This window comes from Homo sapiens, chromosome 12 (genome assembly GCF_000001405.40).
Source record: "Homo sapiens chromosome 12, GRCh38.p14 Primary Assembly".
In the NCBI taxonomy this organism is placed as follows: domain Eukaryota; kingdom Metazoa; phylum Chordata; class Mammalia; order Primates; family Hominidae; genus Homo; species Homo sapiens.
The window spans coordinates 44,128,750-44,145,498 of record NC_000012.12 but is presented as its reverse complement, the minus strand read 5'-3'; the positions used below and the strand labels follow the sequence as shown (position 1 = coordinate 44,145,498).

Here is a 16,749-nt window from a genome sequence, read left to right as displayed (position 1 = left end):
TTACAGAAAATATGTAACACAGGAAGGAACTATTAATCCTATTTGATAAATCTGCAAACTGAGCCTCCGAGAACTGTTCATTATTTGTAGGAAGGTCGAACCATAGGTGGTCAGGTCAGATAATTCAAATTCCTGGACTCTTAATCTAGTTATCTTTTCCATCTTATTAAGCAGATTTGCCACAAAGTGATGTCAAAATCACAATGCATAATTAATGTCAAAAAATTTTTTTAAACATCCCCTCAAATTTCAAGGAAGTTACGTTTTTCAAAGTTTATGTATCTCCTCCTAAAAAGCTTTTTCCAATGGAAAAAAGAAATTTTTCTTTTTTATTTTCTTTTTGAGACGGAGTCTCGCTCTGTCGCCCAGGCTGGAGTTCAGTGGCGCGATCTCGGCTCACTGCAAGCTCCGCCTCCCAGGTTCACGCCATTCTCCTGCCTCAGCCTCCCGAGTAGCTGGGACTACAGGCGCCCGCCACCACGCCTGGCTAATTTTTTGTATTTTTAGTAGAGATGGGGTTTCACCGTGTTAGCCAGGATGGTCTCGATCTCCTGACCTCATGATCCGCCCGCCTCGGCCTCCCAAAGTGCTGGGATTACAGGCGTGAGCCACCGCGCCCGGCCCAGAAAAAAGAAAATTCTCATGTGAGGCAGCCTGTTCTCAATGTCTAGTTTATTCTAATTGCTATTTCTAGAGATTACAAATAAATCATTTTTCAAGTTTACATTTTAAAGTTAATGGAATAGAATCCATACAGTAATCTGTTAACATTCTAAAAATCAACAGAGGTAGGTGGAGGCTCAAAAACAGGCCATACAAACCCTTTGGTAGTTACTTGATACTCTTCCTGGATGTTCTCAGTAGGAGCAGTTAAGCTACAACTGCTTCCTGATCCTGGAAAGCACCTGTTCCAGGTAAGAAGCAATCAATAGAAATGGCAGGAACTCTTTTGTTCCTACCTACAATATCTACCTACAATATCTGGGACATATCTGCAGGGACATGTCCATGCCAAGTCTTGTCTGAGTCAGGCATTATCTGCCTTCTGGTATATCTCCTCATTTTCAAGTGAATAGACTGACAAAGGTAATTAGAATCAACTGCATTTATGAACGGTATTAATGAAGTGCTCCATTTTTATGGGAGTTATGTTCTTTGCATTTTGTGAGTCTCTCATAAATTTATAGAACCCAGAGCCTTCTAGCAACATGCTATCTTTAAATTTTAACCCAATGATTAAAAACAGAAGATACTTTATTGACAGATGAGCTCAGCAGGAGACATGTTTGTCTGTTTGTTCCAGGCTTATAGTAACAAGGAGTAAGAAAATACAAAAGAGATTAAAAGAGATAATACTCAGAACTCAGTTACCATTATATTAGTAGTTCCAATGAGGAAAATAAATGTAGAAAATGATTTCTTAAATTGCTAAAAAAAATATTTCATATGGTCTTCTGAGACAGGCCAGACCACATTCCTTACCTGAAAATTGTACATGCCTTAAGAAAAAGCCAAAATTATTTAGACAAACAAAATTATTTGTAACTTCACAGGGAGAATTTCTATTAATGTTATGACTGTATATGTTTATATGCTCAAACATACATGTGTGTTTAGATAGGTAGATGATAGATAGATAGATCGATCGACAGATTCTGGTGGAGTGCCATTACTTGTATTCTAATTGCATTGATTTTTTTTCTGAGGTCCACAGATATTGGATATAATCTCTGGAATTATCTTTACTCATAAATTTGTTTCACTCAAAGAGAGGTAATTATTTTACTCTACATCATCAAAAGCAGTGTCTGTCCAACACTGTGAACATGTCTTCCGTTTGATGTTTGAAATGGGTGAAGTTAAAATTTTCTTACCATCCAAGCTGTGACAAAGTCCCCCATCCAGGTCCCTACTGCAGCTAATTTCATGAAACTTTCATTTCGGATGCCCATATAGTCTGTAATGATATATGCTCTGTGGAAACAAACACACAAGACATTGTCCGGACTCAGAGAGTCATACAGTTAAGGCTTTCTGGTTCAGCAACAGGCAAAGGGACTTCTCCCATTCTCAGCAAGCTGTCTGGCTCTTGTCCCATCACATATGCTTACAAATCTGGAAGTCTAAGAAGAGCTCTCAGGGTGTCTGGGTCATTTTCAATTATACTTGAAGACTGAATGTGGCTCCACCAATTACCATGTGCACTTCATATTTGAGCTGTACGACTAATGACAGCTTTTGAAAAATCAAACAGAAATACTCAGCAAAGGTATTATTGCATGCTCACTCAAGTATGAGCAGAGCAGAAACACTTCCTAAATTGGAGTAACTTCAAAGAGGAGAGAAGAGCTAACTTTCCTTCAGTTCCATCAAATCAAAACAATTGGAAAAATGCTGGGATTAGGCTTTAGATATAACATCATACCTGAATAACGTTCAGAATAATATCAAGATTTAAGAAAAATTTCCATGCATAATAAAGCAGTATGAAATTTGATCCAAATATGTGTGATTTAAATTATTACTGAAATATAAATAAGAGAATGTAATTATACCATTTACTTTTTGTATAGCTAATTCCTATTTCCACTGATCATTAAATATTAGTATTAAGACCATGCTTACTGTTCATCAGGCATTTTCATTTAATATTCAAGAAAACACTAATTATTATTTTTCTAATTTTGCAATTTCTCTGAAAAAACTGGGACTCAGATCACATAACTCGCCCTATTCATATCATATAACTAACAAATGGTAGCTAGGTGACAAATTTCTCTCTCCCTCTTTTAGTTTTTATTTTACTCTTAAGTTTTTGTTCACTTAACTACTTTTATCTTAAATTTTGCTCCTTTTCTTATACATAATAATACCTGTACAATTTAGAGTATTGGTAAAACTTAATTCTTCTTAATTTTAAAATACATCCAATAGATAATGATTGTTCATTATTTATCTACTGAAATTATGAAGAAACATGTTTTTGAAGTCACTGAGAGGTAAACTATCTCCAATTCAGTCTTTTCTTTTCTGGAGTTATTTCAGATGGTTCTGTTATCCATAAAATAAACAGATATTTAACTAGTTTTATTTAACAAAAAAAGCAAACTTAAAAATTCTTAACATAACTCTTTTTCAACAGACTTCATTCACCTACCTTGGAGGCTCTCTGTAAGTGTTTTAAGGACAACCCCAAAATTCTGGATCTCCAATTCCATGGACTTTGATAGTAGCCCAAAATTTATAGCTACCATAAATTGCATGCTTATAAGGTGCCAAAGATAGTTATTACCACTTTAAATACAGTGTATACATCAACTCTCACACTGGTACAATGAAATGTATTATTATTCCTAATTCACAATATGAAATTGAGATTTACAGAGTTTTTGCAACTTGCTTAAGGTCAAGCATCTGGTAAATGGACAGGATTTAAATTTAAACTTGATTGACTCACAAACGCAGAAATTTAACCACTAAGCAACATCTTCTTCTTATAAGTGTTAGTGAAGATATAAAACACAACAAATATCTACTCTGTCCACAAGTAGCTTAGTAGATGATAAAAATTAAAACTTATTTCCCTTTAAGATAAATCCTAATAAGAAGTCAAGAATAGTATGCAGAACCTTTAGCTCTCCAGAGCAACCATCAAGTCTTGAGTTTCAATTCATGTTGAATTCACCAATCAAAGTGGCGTCCACTTGAAAGCCCCCAAGTTATTCACTTGGACAACTTGGTGTAGCACCATTCAGTACCACAATCACTGAACAGCTCTTGGTCAGTGAACTCAACATTACTATAAAGGATTAGCTCTGGTAATTGCCCAGTTCTTTCAATGATACCTAATTTGAAGAACTTGTTCAATGCCCCACCTGTCCACTTTTCCAATTAGTTCTAGAATATCTTGGGGTAGAGTGGAAATTTTAGGGTATATTCCCTGTAATTGCATACATTTGTATAAGAGAAGGTATCATTCTTTTATTTTACTATCTAAAAATAGAGACAGGCGGCTGGATACACTTGCAACAGATCAATCATCCAGCTAATAACTAAAAAAATAAAAACCAAAACCACGACCACACTCTGGGGCTTTTCAGAGGGAAAAGGGTGGGAGGAGAGAGAGGATCAGGAAAAATGATTAATGGGTACTAGGCTTAATACCTGAGTGATGAAACAATCTGTAAAACAAACCCCCATGACACGAGATTATCTATATAGCAAAACTGCACATGTACTCCTGAACTTAAAAGTTTTTTAAAAATGCAAAAAATGTCACAAATTTGGTATCATGGAGGTTACTGACAAAAGGAGTTTTAATGAAGTGGTGCTACTGTACATGTGTATACAATTTGAATATATGTTAATCAAAAGTGTTAACACTGTTTAAATAATCAAAAAATTAAAATTGTTGAGGCAATGAAGACTAGAAAAATCAAGATACCAGATTAGAGAGAACTGTGGAAAGTTAGAACTGTGAAGAACAGACAACATTGGAAATTTAAGGAGCCAAGATCCTAGTGAGGAAGGAGAAACCCAGAAGACAGCATGACACACAGCTGGTTGCCTTTCAAGACACTTGCCAAACCTTTCTGAACTTGTACAGGAAGGAGACTAAAAGACTAAGTAAAATCTCTAAAGAGCATTAGGGAGGTTTGGCAACTTCCTTATATTGAGGACTCTATTAGAGTTCAGAACCAGCTAGAGAATGTGGTCCAAGAGAATACAGCCCTCTGGAGGGCTACAGAAAACCAGAGATGGATGAATCCTTGATGAAAGTATAAACCAGCCCTTACCCAGGCCATTTGATGACCAGATTGTGGTGAACAGCTTCTACTGTCTCCACTTAACAAAGGAAAAAGTAAATGTTTTGTGGAAAAATAAAATTTTGTTTTATCCTCTACACACTTTTATACATAATATCTGTCCATCATTCAAAAATTACTAGGATGTCAAGAAACAAGCTCCTATCACTGAAAACCAAGAGAAAAAACTGTCCAGAAGAATAGGAAGCTATTTTGGCTATCTTGTCTACTGTTGATTCTCCAGTGGAGAATTAATAAATATTTGTTTAAATTATGATTTAATAAAGTGACCCAAATCATTCATATTTATTTATATATGGCATGGGTAGATCTCCATACATTAAATCCTAGAAACAGCAATAAAATGAGATTGAATCATGAAAAACTTTTCCATGGAGGAAGATATTAAAAACTTCTAAAAATTGTTTTGTGTGTTCACTTTATCTCTCCAGCTACATTTATAGCTTCTTGACTGACTGGAAGATAACTGTCCTGTATTCACCCAGAGTAATATATCAGCACAAAATAAAGTATCCTTGCCTGTGGCTGTGGACATATGATAAGTGCTAGATGCTATAACAATGCAGATGAGATAGTACTGACAACTTATGAAATAACTAATATACTTAAAAATGAAGAATAATATATAAAGACTAGTCATTCAGTAATTATTCTTATTTTTGCTGCTTTGGATAAATATGAAGAAGAATTACAAATATGCAGACCTGTCATAAAAATTTTCAGCTACTATTTCATTCATTTGCATATCCATTAACATTTAACAAGATTTCCTGGTTGGATTGTAAACAACAAGACAGGCATATATTTATATCAGCAATTTTAGCCAGTTTGAATATCACATTGGACTCTAGAAAAGTGAAATTGTGAGGTTTCATATACCTACTGATTTGGGCAAGTAATTCAGAATTAAACTTTATTTGCTAAGAGGCACAATTAAAGTTATTTTGTTTGGTGCATTAGCTGATTATTTTAACAACTCATACATCCTTTGTTTTCTTTTATGCTTTATTTGTTTTCTTTTTTCCACTATCTAGAAAATCTTGCAGTTCTACCAGCCTTCTAAGTAACTATTGATCATTGATATAGGCTTTTAAGATCCTAAATAAATTTTTTCTCAGCCTCTAACTTCAATTATTTTTTCCTCGAGATTTAAACCTTAACCATCAAATCCATAACAAACGTGGAGATTTCAATATACAAGATCTGGAAAAGGCTAATTATCATAACATCTTGACAATACGAGATACCAAGCCTATTAAAACCTGTTGCAAAATGACTAAACTAAACAGACTCTAACATGAGCAAAATAGTCAATAAAACTATAATATAGTGAATTGGTCTTACAGTAAGGGTCTTGATCACTAGCAACAAAAGTTCCAGTTCACTTCAGTCTATTAGTCATACATAAGTGGTTGCAGTCAATGCCAGGTGATTTAGTGGTTGAGTCTGAATTTTAACAGGAGGCAGTACACACAGATCACCAAACCAATATGGATCCATACTTCACTGAAAAACCATCTGTGGCCAGCTGGATTCATAATGTCACAGCTGTCTCTCTCAGCCATGTTTGGACAACATAAATAAGATTGGGGGCTTCACACACAAGTAAATCATGGGCGAGGAGTTGACTTGCATGAGTACAGGTCTGCATTAAACACACTAAAACTAAAGCAAAAGCTCTAAGGATTCTTAAGGCATTAAAGTGAAAATTTGTCACTACAAAATGCCAGGAACTAAACCTAGATTTTTAAAATTAACCTTTCCTCAATCATTTTGTGTTTGTAGTGAAATGATTAACTAGATTAATGACTCCAGTCACTTACTCGACTATTATCCAAATAACCACATTTTAGTATATTTGCTCAAAATCTCTAGTTCTTGATTTAAAATACTTTGATGGAGCTCAATACATGTGTAAGGACCTTCCAGGCCAGACCTATGGTTTGAGGCTATGGGGCAAGATCCCCTGGAATGTCACAAAAAAGCTGCAGACAATTGTTAGCTGTAGCCTGTAATGATTAAAATTGCATCTGAACCTAACAATGGTCACTGATAAAATTCCAACTCAAATTTCCTAACTTTAGCCATTAATTCCCTCTAAGTTCTATAAGGAAGACATATCTAAGAAGACGGGAGACAGAGTATCATTAACCAAGCCCACCCTCACTGTGAATACATCCAGCATACATCAATTCTTTCTTCCATTTCTTGCCTTACTTCAGCCCATTCAGTGAAATTCATTTGTGCTGTATACAGAAACATTAGTATTACATCAATTTCTCCCTTTCCTTTACTCTCAACATTAGTGATTAATCACTAATGTTACTTCTGAAAGGCTCTCAAATCTATGCTGTTTTTCTGTCATCACCACTATCAATGTCTAAATTCTGTCCATAATCATCTCTAATCTGAAACTAAAGTAATAATTTCCTATTCTATTGTAACTATTTCCACCCACAGTAAATTCTTTATTGACACTATGGGGATTTCTAGCAAAGAAACAGGGCATACTGGAGAAGCAGAAGTCCTGGAACCAGAAAAGATTAAGCTTGCAACCCACCCCATACCCCCATGACTTGGGACAAATGATCAACTTTGATAATCATCCATTTCCTTATCTATATAGTGGGAATAAAAATACCTTTCCTTCCCAGGGGTTTATTGGGGAACACATGATATAAAGTATGCAAAGCTTCTAGTACAACTATTTCATAATATGCATGTAAAAAAAGGTAAACTTCTGGCCTACTGGCTTCCATTTTTCAAAATAATATTGTGGTCCCCAATGTCACAGGGTAAAGCATGTGATATGGTTTGGCTGTGTCCCTACCCAAATCTCATCTTGGATTGTAACTTCCACAATTCCCACGTGTTGTGGGAGGGACCCAGTGGTAGGTAGTTGAATAAGTGGGACTGGTCTTTCTTGTGCTCTTCTCGCAATGGTGAGTGGGTCTCATGAGATCTGATGGTTTTAAATAGAGGAGTTCCTCTGCACAAACTCTCTCTTTGCTGGCCGCCATCCACGTAAGATGTGACTTGCTCCTCCTTGCTTTCCACCATGATTGTGATGCCTCCCAGCCATGTGGAACTGTAAGTCCATTAAACCTCTGTTTCTTCCCAGTATCAGGTATGTCTTTATCAGCAGCGTGAAAATGGACTAAGACAACATGGATAAGAAGAACCTCCACTCTGCAAGGCATCTTCATTTTTAGACTCATCTCCTTACATTTCAGAATCTCCTTCTTTCAGGCCCTCCTCCTACTAGGAAATCAATCTCACCAATATACCACCATTTCATAATACACTTATAATGGCTGCCCAGAATGCTCTCTTTATTGTCCCATGCCAATCCCTGTCTTCTGGCTTGAGATTACTAACTCAGTCTGTCCACTGAGAAACCTACTGCCATTACTTTTGAAAGTTATCGCTTCCCTAGTGTTGTCATAATACTTTGACTATACCTCTATGTTAAATCATTTTCCCAGAGTATTTTAATGATTTTCTTACATTGCCCTTCTCTCCCATAAGATTTGCTTCATCAAGGGTAATAAACATGTATCTTTTTTTTTTTTTTTTGGCAAATGAAATTCTTGGCCCAGGGTATAGTATGTTTTAGGAATGCAATAAATAAGTAAATGAATTAAGTAGTAAATTACTTAAATCATTTGACATCAGGGCCAAAGTAGGATGAGTATAAAAGCATAAAAGGTAAAAACAAGGATTTGCAATACAAGATAAAATAAAAGCAAACATCAAAGACAAATTGTGTGCCATGTAATTATGATGCTCTAACAAAGTTAGAATAGAGCGTTATTGTATCATTTTTATTACCTCTTCTGGAATAAAAAGCTAGAGGCTAGAATATAAATAAATCAAAATAAAGAACATATCTTTGACTTTCTGCAACACATGCTGTAAATTTACTTACTTCGAACGTCAGTTGAATAATTTAAAAAGTAAAATATTGAAAATCTACTTAATCATATTAAAGTATTTTTTAAATGAGATTACTTATCAATACATGATTTAGTGCACCAATTTGCTGGCACAAACAATACCAGAGCTACACAGTAAAACACATTTATTTTATCCATATGAAAAAAAGGAAACAAAATATATTCCACTGCCCTTCAAATGGATACTGTAAAACTACATTTGTTGTGTGTCTTTTAAAGTCAAAATATAAAGGTCTATAAGGTTAAAAAACAATATAGCCTCAAAACTAATTCTAAAGTCCCAGATTTTGTGTGGTTATATCCCAAGTTTCTTTCATAGTTTAATTCTTTTCTTTTATCAACTTCCCAAACACTCCAGGAATATGCAATCTAATTTGATGCTCTGAATAGTTCTGTCTTCTACCTCTAATGAAGTAAACAAATACAACAAAGAGACTTCATTTATCTTCACTAAAGTTATTAGAAAAATGATACAGATAACCAAGCTTTAAAATCCTGAGCTTGTTGCTAAGAGAACCCCAATAAATCCCCAAAGGAATCCAGAGAGTCACAAATTACCTGAAAGTAATTTCATAATTAATTTAGTCACATTTTAATGTTAAATAAAATTAAGTGTTTAGAACTATTCAAGTAAAATATATACAATGCATTGCCATAAGTTTTTATTATTGTAAAAGGGAATTGTAAGCTAAGCCAGAATGGCATTCATTAATTTACCCTATATAATGATTCTTCTATCTAAACTAATTAGAAGGGCATAAAATAACTTACAAGTTTTGCAAAGATTTTGATGCTGTTCAAAGTAGAACAAAAACCAAGTTCAATTTTAATGGGTATGTGTCAGTGGAGGCAAGTGTTCATGGTTGCAAATGATCAAAATAATGGAATAAAAACAATGGGACATAAATACAATAATTAACAGTTGCCAGGAACTATAATTTGTCCACTGTATATAATAAAATGAAGAAACCTGAAAAATGAGACTGTTCTTGTATTTCCTACAAAATTTTCAAATTCAAAGCAATTGTGACAATTTCTTTTCTTTCTCTTCTCTCTCCTCCTCCTTCTTCTTCCCTTTCTTCTTTTCGTCCATCTTCCTCTGGATATGAATTCAACCACCTCTTTTTCTCTTCCCTGTAGCTACTCAACACTATTTCCCAATGATTTACTCCATATTCCTGTTGAAACAATTTTAGGCTCCAGTGATATGGGGAAGGGAGAAGGGAACTGTCTTTTTACCCAGGAACCTTATTGCAGCATGTAAATTTATATTGGATAAGCACCTATCTTAATTTATATTCATTTATTCATTAAACAAATAATTACTGATGTCTCACTGCATGCTAGACCATGACCCTGATACTTGTAAACTCATAAATTCTCAAGGGAAAGAAAATAGCACCCCAGAGCTAGTGGTCCCATCTTGGATTATCACTCAGTGCCTGTTTTCTAGTAATTTATTCCTGCCATTGGGGTAAGCTTATGGAGACATATACAATGATGCCCAACTCTGCTATTGTTTCCTTTTCTGGTAATTTAGAACCAATACAAAAAGAGAGAAAGAAGGAAATATCTTTCCTGGAGGTTATATGAGAAAATAACCCAGTGATTGTTGGAGACCACAGTTTTATCCCCTGTAATCTGCAGACAAAGCAAGAGAAGGAAAGAGAGTGAGAGTGGCAGAGAGTGAGAGGGCAGGCAGAGGATGAAAGCTGGCTGACATATGCAAAGGAGAGAAGACAGGAAAAAACATGGGTGGTGTGTCAGTCTAATTCCAATGCCTTCCTGGGACATGCATACCAGCACTTTGGATTCCATGGGACATCCATGTTGCTTCCTAAGAATCACTGTTCCCTACCTTATCTTTGTTCTTGAGCTAACGTCACCGAGATTATATTCGTTGCAATGAAAAGCATTGTAAATATTCACCCAGGAAAGAGGGTAGAGTCTAAAATTGTGGTTCTGAGTATTTTGTTCAATTTTAACTGTGCAACCATTCTTCTAGCCTTTTAGAAATAAATGACACTAAATTGGCTATACAAAAAAAGCCATCAGTGTAGTTGGTAGACTGAGGTTGGTTCTCAAATTATTCCTAATTAGAACGAAGATAAACAGATGTGCCCACACTTTGTGGCACTGCTCTAGGAAATGGGGAATTTAACTTTTGTTTAAATCTAATGTACTGTTTCCGCATATAAATTTCACAGGTGTCCTGAAATTTAGAATAGCACTCCCCTCTCTCTCCAGTTAAAAAATGTGATATATGGTCCAGTTAAGACCAATCTGTTAAGCCTGGGAAACATAGTGCACCACATCTCTACAAAACCAAAAAATTAGCCAGGCTTGGTGGCACATACCTGTAGATCAAGCTACTTAGAGACTGAGCTAGGAGGATTGCTTGAGCCCAGGAGGTCAACGCTACAGCGAGCAAGCCTTGATTGCACCACTGCACTCAAGCCTGGGCAACAGAGTGATAACCTGTCTCAAAAACACAAAAACAAAAACCCCAAAAGACCAATGTGTCTCCGTTTTGAGAGATGTGGGACAAACGGTGAGTGTGTCAACTGAGTCACAATAAGTGAGGGAATATCTGTGGACTGAATAGATGAAAAGCTAGATTTGACATCACTTAACTAGCTAATATAAAGGGAGCCTGATTTTGAAATATAAAGTGTTGAAAAGATAAAATAAAGGCAGATAATGTGTAACCTGGAGAGAGTGGAGGCTGCATTTCTGAAGACCAAAGGTATTTTATAGGTCTCTTACAAAGTGTCAGAAAAAGGTAACAAGAAGATAATATTAAGCAGACATCATTTAGTAGTATAGAATAGAGCTGGAGAGAGCAACACAGGAGTTTGGGAGAGGGGCCCTGGAATTGAGTTTGCCAATAATATAGAAGTGGCATATCAGAGAAAGGATTATGAAGCACTTTCCCCATTTGTGCTTGGCCATACCTGAACTTGGACCTTCCACGAAGAGCTCTAAAGCCCAAGGGACATCTCTTTAGCCTCACAAAGCCTCATCATCATCAAATGCCCTTCAAATTAGAAGTGAATTAGTTCTCATTGCCCCATAAATTTGTTTCATAATTTTACTAATTATATAGTTTCTCTTGACTTAACCACCAAGAATTTCACGCTCTGCTTTTGAAATGTGTGTTTCAAAAGCTGCACCACACCAGCTATCAGACCACGGTCAAAAAAGCAAAAAGAAAAAGGAAAAGAGAGGAGAGAAGAAAAGCCACAATTCCACCCATCTTGTGAACATTTCAGACCCATCGAGTTCCTCCAAATAACTCAGTAAGTTTTCTGAGAGTTTCCTTTGCGCTGTTGGAACCAGTACTGTTAGCTATTACAGTGCTATTTTCCTCTTGTTCCACTCACTGTCATGAAGGCTAGTTGATTCCAATGTCAAAAGTGGTTCCAGAGATACCCTCTCCTCAACTGATGCCCACCAAAGAGCCTGCTACTGCCACTCATGTTGTCAACATGTGCACCAAGACCAAGGTACTCATGTCTGTGCCAAAGACAATGCAGACATCTTTGCAAATTCTGTTATTACAACAGATGCCTCCCTTATAATGTCTGTAATCAGTCAACGAATACACCCACATCATTGTACCATGCCTGTGCTACCATAAGCCAATAGCAACAGGGACACTGATGCCCTGCAGTCTCAAATTCCCAAAGATATTATGGAAAACTCACTTTTCACTTTTACTTGTTCTTGTACTTGCTCTTACCATCTGATTCAGGTGTAAGTAGTTGGGACCACGAGTAAAATACACTGTGCTTTATTCACAATAATCCTTTCTTTTTCAACATCTGCCCAGTGTCTTTGAACTAGATACCCCTGCTTCAACTGTCTCTTAGATGTTATTTTTTAGGCCTTTTGGTGCCACATGTAAACAGCACCCTAGAAGTAAGATTACACATAAACTTGGTGGAGTGAGAAATTATGTTTCCCTCTTCCAAAATTTACTACAATGACAATGTAGGAATTTAAAAAAAACTGCAGAGTAGGAGAAGAAATGACAGAACATGAGAAATTTTTAATGCAATTTTAGAAAGCAGGTTGAGGAACGGGGATGGTCATAGTTTCAGCTTTCTTTGTTGTATTGACTTTTTCTGGAGCACGTAATAAGAAGGAAGCTAAACTCTACCTCTGGATCCCAATAATGCTCAGGGATGAGAAGCTCAGGATTTCTGAAGGCAAGGGAGAAGAGGAATGAAAGAGAAAAATGATCCTCCAATGGAGGATCAGTAGAAATCTTTCACAATGAGTTGTTAGGCCACCAGGTATCTTCCCTGATGCAATGAAACCTGGAAATGACTTTCACCCCACCTAACTTAGATGGGATATTTGCTACATGAAGAAGTTCAAGCCTGGAATGAGGTACCTTAATGAGAAGGAGCTTTAAAATACAAAGGGTGTGTGTGTGTGCGTACATACACATATGAGTCCCATCATCCACAATGTTATTTGTCTAGGTTAAAGACAGAAGTTTCATCTAAAAAAAAAAAAAAAAACCTGAGCAGCCCCTCCCGCTTAAAAAAGGCTTATTAACAATTGAGGGTCTCCCAGTGAAATGGCCAAATTCCTACACTGCCTCCGTCTCCCTAATTCTTATCCATCAATAAGCCTATCCATGCACAGAGACTTCCCAGTCATCTTTTTATCGCTCAGCCTGTATGGATAGACTTCAGGTATTATCATATATTTGAAGAAAATCTCTAACAAGGAAAATAAAAAGCTCAAAATGAAATAAAAACAAGGAACAAAACAGACAATGCAGAAAACAGAAAAAGTGAGAACAGAATAAAGATATTTTTCAGACCTGCAAAGTAAAAATTCAATTATATGCTGCTATAAAAATACCTAAAACTAAGGCTACATAAAGGTTGAAAATAGTGGGAAAAGATAACATGCAAATAACAACAACATAAAATTTGGTATAGCTATATTAATATCAATTTTAAAGGTGAATAGTATTATTATAAATTAAGACGGATTCTTACTAATGATAACAGGGTCAACTTATCAGGAAGATACAGTGTGCTATCAAAATATATAAATTAAAATAAATTGGCAAAACATTAAGGAAAAATAAATTCCCATAGAAAATGTGAAATAACATATTTTACTCAATAATCAATGGAACAAGCAGACAAAAACTAGTAAGGATATAAAGGATTTAAATAAGAGGATGAGCAAACTCTGCCTAATGGATATATAGAGAAAAACTCACCCCACAACTACAGAATGCACATTCTTTTAATGCAACAGAGAACACTTAGAAATATTGATCATCAGCAGGGCCATAAACAAGTCTCAAAAAAATTAAAATGACTAAATTATACATAGGATATTCTTTGTCCATAATATAACTAAACTATACATCAGTAACATATAATTTGAGAACTCCCAGATCATTGGAAACTAAGAGAGACACTTCCAAATAACAGGAGTCAAAATAGAAACCTCAATGAGGCAGAGTAAATATTTTGAACAGGATAATAATGAAAGCACTGTGAGAAAGAGCTAACACCATGCTTAAACTTTTAATTTTGAATAAATATATTGGAAAATAAGAAATGCTAAAACTGAATGATTAAAAATCCTTGTCAAGGAATTAGAGAAGAAACAGCAAAATTAACCACAAAGAGAGAAATATATAAGTTTTTCAAAGACTTCAATTAAATAAGCAGTAAAGAAAAAAGGAATTATACAATAGACCAACACAGCTAGTCCTATGAAAAGATGTAAAATTAATCAGTCCCTGGCAAGACTGATAAAAATATACAGAAAAAGCACAATGTCAGAAATCAATGTCAGAAATGAAATAGGGGCATTGCTATAGACTCTTCAGAGATTAAACAAATAATCAGCTCTTTTTTTAAATGATATGCAAACTAAAAATGAAAATTTAGGTGAAATCAGTAAGTTTCTAGAAAAAAAAACATTTACAAATTACCAAAATGTACATAGGAATAAAAAGTAGATTTGTAACTACTCACAAAATTCTATCTATATTTAGAAACTTTCCCACAAGAAAAATCCAGGCCCAGAAGAATGGATGAGCATATTATAGTACAGTCCTACAATGGAGACTGTTCAACAATGAAAACTAGTACTAATTGAAGCCTGGATAGTTCTCAGAAACTGTCACAGAAAAGAAGTCAAAACCCCCTCACCAAAAACATTATATAATTACAAATATATAAAACTCAGAAATAGCCAAAACTAAGCTATGGTGTTAGAGAAGTTGTATAAGTGGTAAAACTATTTAGCAAAGTAAGAAAGCAAAGGGCCTAAAACATGAGATAGTTATTACTTTGGAGGGAAGGGAGAGGTTTATCACTAGGACAGCCAGAGGGCAGCTTCTGGGATCCTGACAATACTCCTTTGATTGACATCAGTGATGATAACATGAGCAACATGAGTGTCCACTTAATAATATTTTATAACAATTTACTCCACAATAATTAAGATATACCTGTGTGCAATCGGCCTTCACATTTATGCAGGTAGATTATTTCCACATTTTAAAAATTACCAAAAATATAAAGAACCAATTAGTATAACAAAGTTTCAACGAATGGTAACTATTTTCTTTTTATGGGAGAAACACTGGGATAGTAAAAGATCAACATAGCTTTGGGAGAAAATTATTTTTATGTTGGATCGGATGGTGCCACAAAAGGAAGTAGAAGAACGAAGATTCCTGAAATATGATCGAGGCTGTGCAATTAGTGAAATATCCTGGCCAGAACAAGGGCAAGGTAAAAAAATAATAAACGATGAAGCTGAAAATTAATGATGTAGTGAAGAGTATTGTAATGAGTGCCTATAATGTAATTTAGCCTATATTTTAAAGTATGTGAACAATTCACATTTGGAAACTAGATTGTTTCAGTTTCTTCCATAAGTTGCTACAGTTTAAATATCTTTCTGCATTCTAACTGACTAAGCTTCTTGGTACCTCTTAAGGGGAAAGTGATGGTATAGCTGAATGAAAGGGCTACCATTTTTACATACATAATGCATGACAAGGTAGAGCTTAAATCTAGTGCCATTTGAAAGACCCATAAAAATTTATATTTGCTTCATTTATTTCAAGACAGGGAGGCAGGAAGTCACCTCGAAGCAAATGTTCCCTGGGTTCCATGAGGAATCACTTTGGTAATTTCCCGGTAGTTCTCTGGGTTAAGATAAGAAAGTTACTGAGGAAGGGGAATGGGAAAGAGTGTAATAAACTTCTGTGACTCTAGTAAAGCTCTGCAAGACACTGACATGCAGAGCTGATCACCAGGGAGGAAAAGAGGAGATCTGCTCCCCAAGATGGGAAGCACACAGGCTTCTTGTGAAAGACCTGACAGGCCCAGCGCTACAGAAGAATGATGAGACGTCTCCAAACAAAAACTGTGGGGAAAGTGGATGGCCACACTGCTGACTTGGGCTGCTCACTAAAGGGTATGTGTAGGAGAGCTGTTTTCAGCCCCCAGTATGACTAATGGAAGCTCTTCTGAACTCACCATTCTGGGGTTAGAAACAGCGCTGTGGCCCATGCAGGGTCTGGGCCAGGGACAACACTCATGCTGAGTAGACAGAAGTCTGTGGAACTATGCAGGAGCAAGCTTCAACAATGACACCATGTAGCACACTAACAGTAAGACACACATGAAGTAGAAGAATAATCAGAATGGCACAGCTTTTTCTATAGCTGGTATTTGAAAAACACAGACCCTAGTGACCCTACATAGGACTGGGCAAAGCATCAAGTTTAAAGTTGACTGGGCGGGTATAACTTCAAAAGGGATATTGGATTCCTTGCTAATGAATGCAGGTAAGACTTCAAGACATTAATTAAAAGGTTAAAATATATCAGCCCAAATTTATACTCATTTTGCAAAGCATTCATGCCACCAATATATGATGCCAGATATTTCTACACAATCAGCTTAAAT

At 35.7% G+C, this 16,749-nt stretch overlaps 1 protein-coding gene across 10 annotated transcripts in view; it reads right to left on the bottom strand.

The window, feature by feature from the left end:
* Positions 1-16,749, bottom strand: part of TMEM117 (transmembrane protein 117) — a 603,307-nt gene that overhangs the window by 253,610 nt on the left and 332,948 nt on the right. For 8 of the 10 annotated variants that reach the window (XM_047429662.1, XM_047429665.1, NM_032256.3 and 5 more), the window contains one exon: positions 1,875-1,974. The exons of the other annotated variants lie outside the window; for them this stretch is intronic. In XM_047429662.1, coding sequence (XP_047285618.1) covers positions 1,875-1,974 — 100 coding nt within the window. The remainder of the gene's footprint in view (positions 1-1,874; positions 1,975-16,749) is intronic. 10 annotated transcript variants of the gene reach the window in all.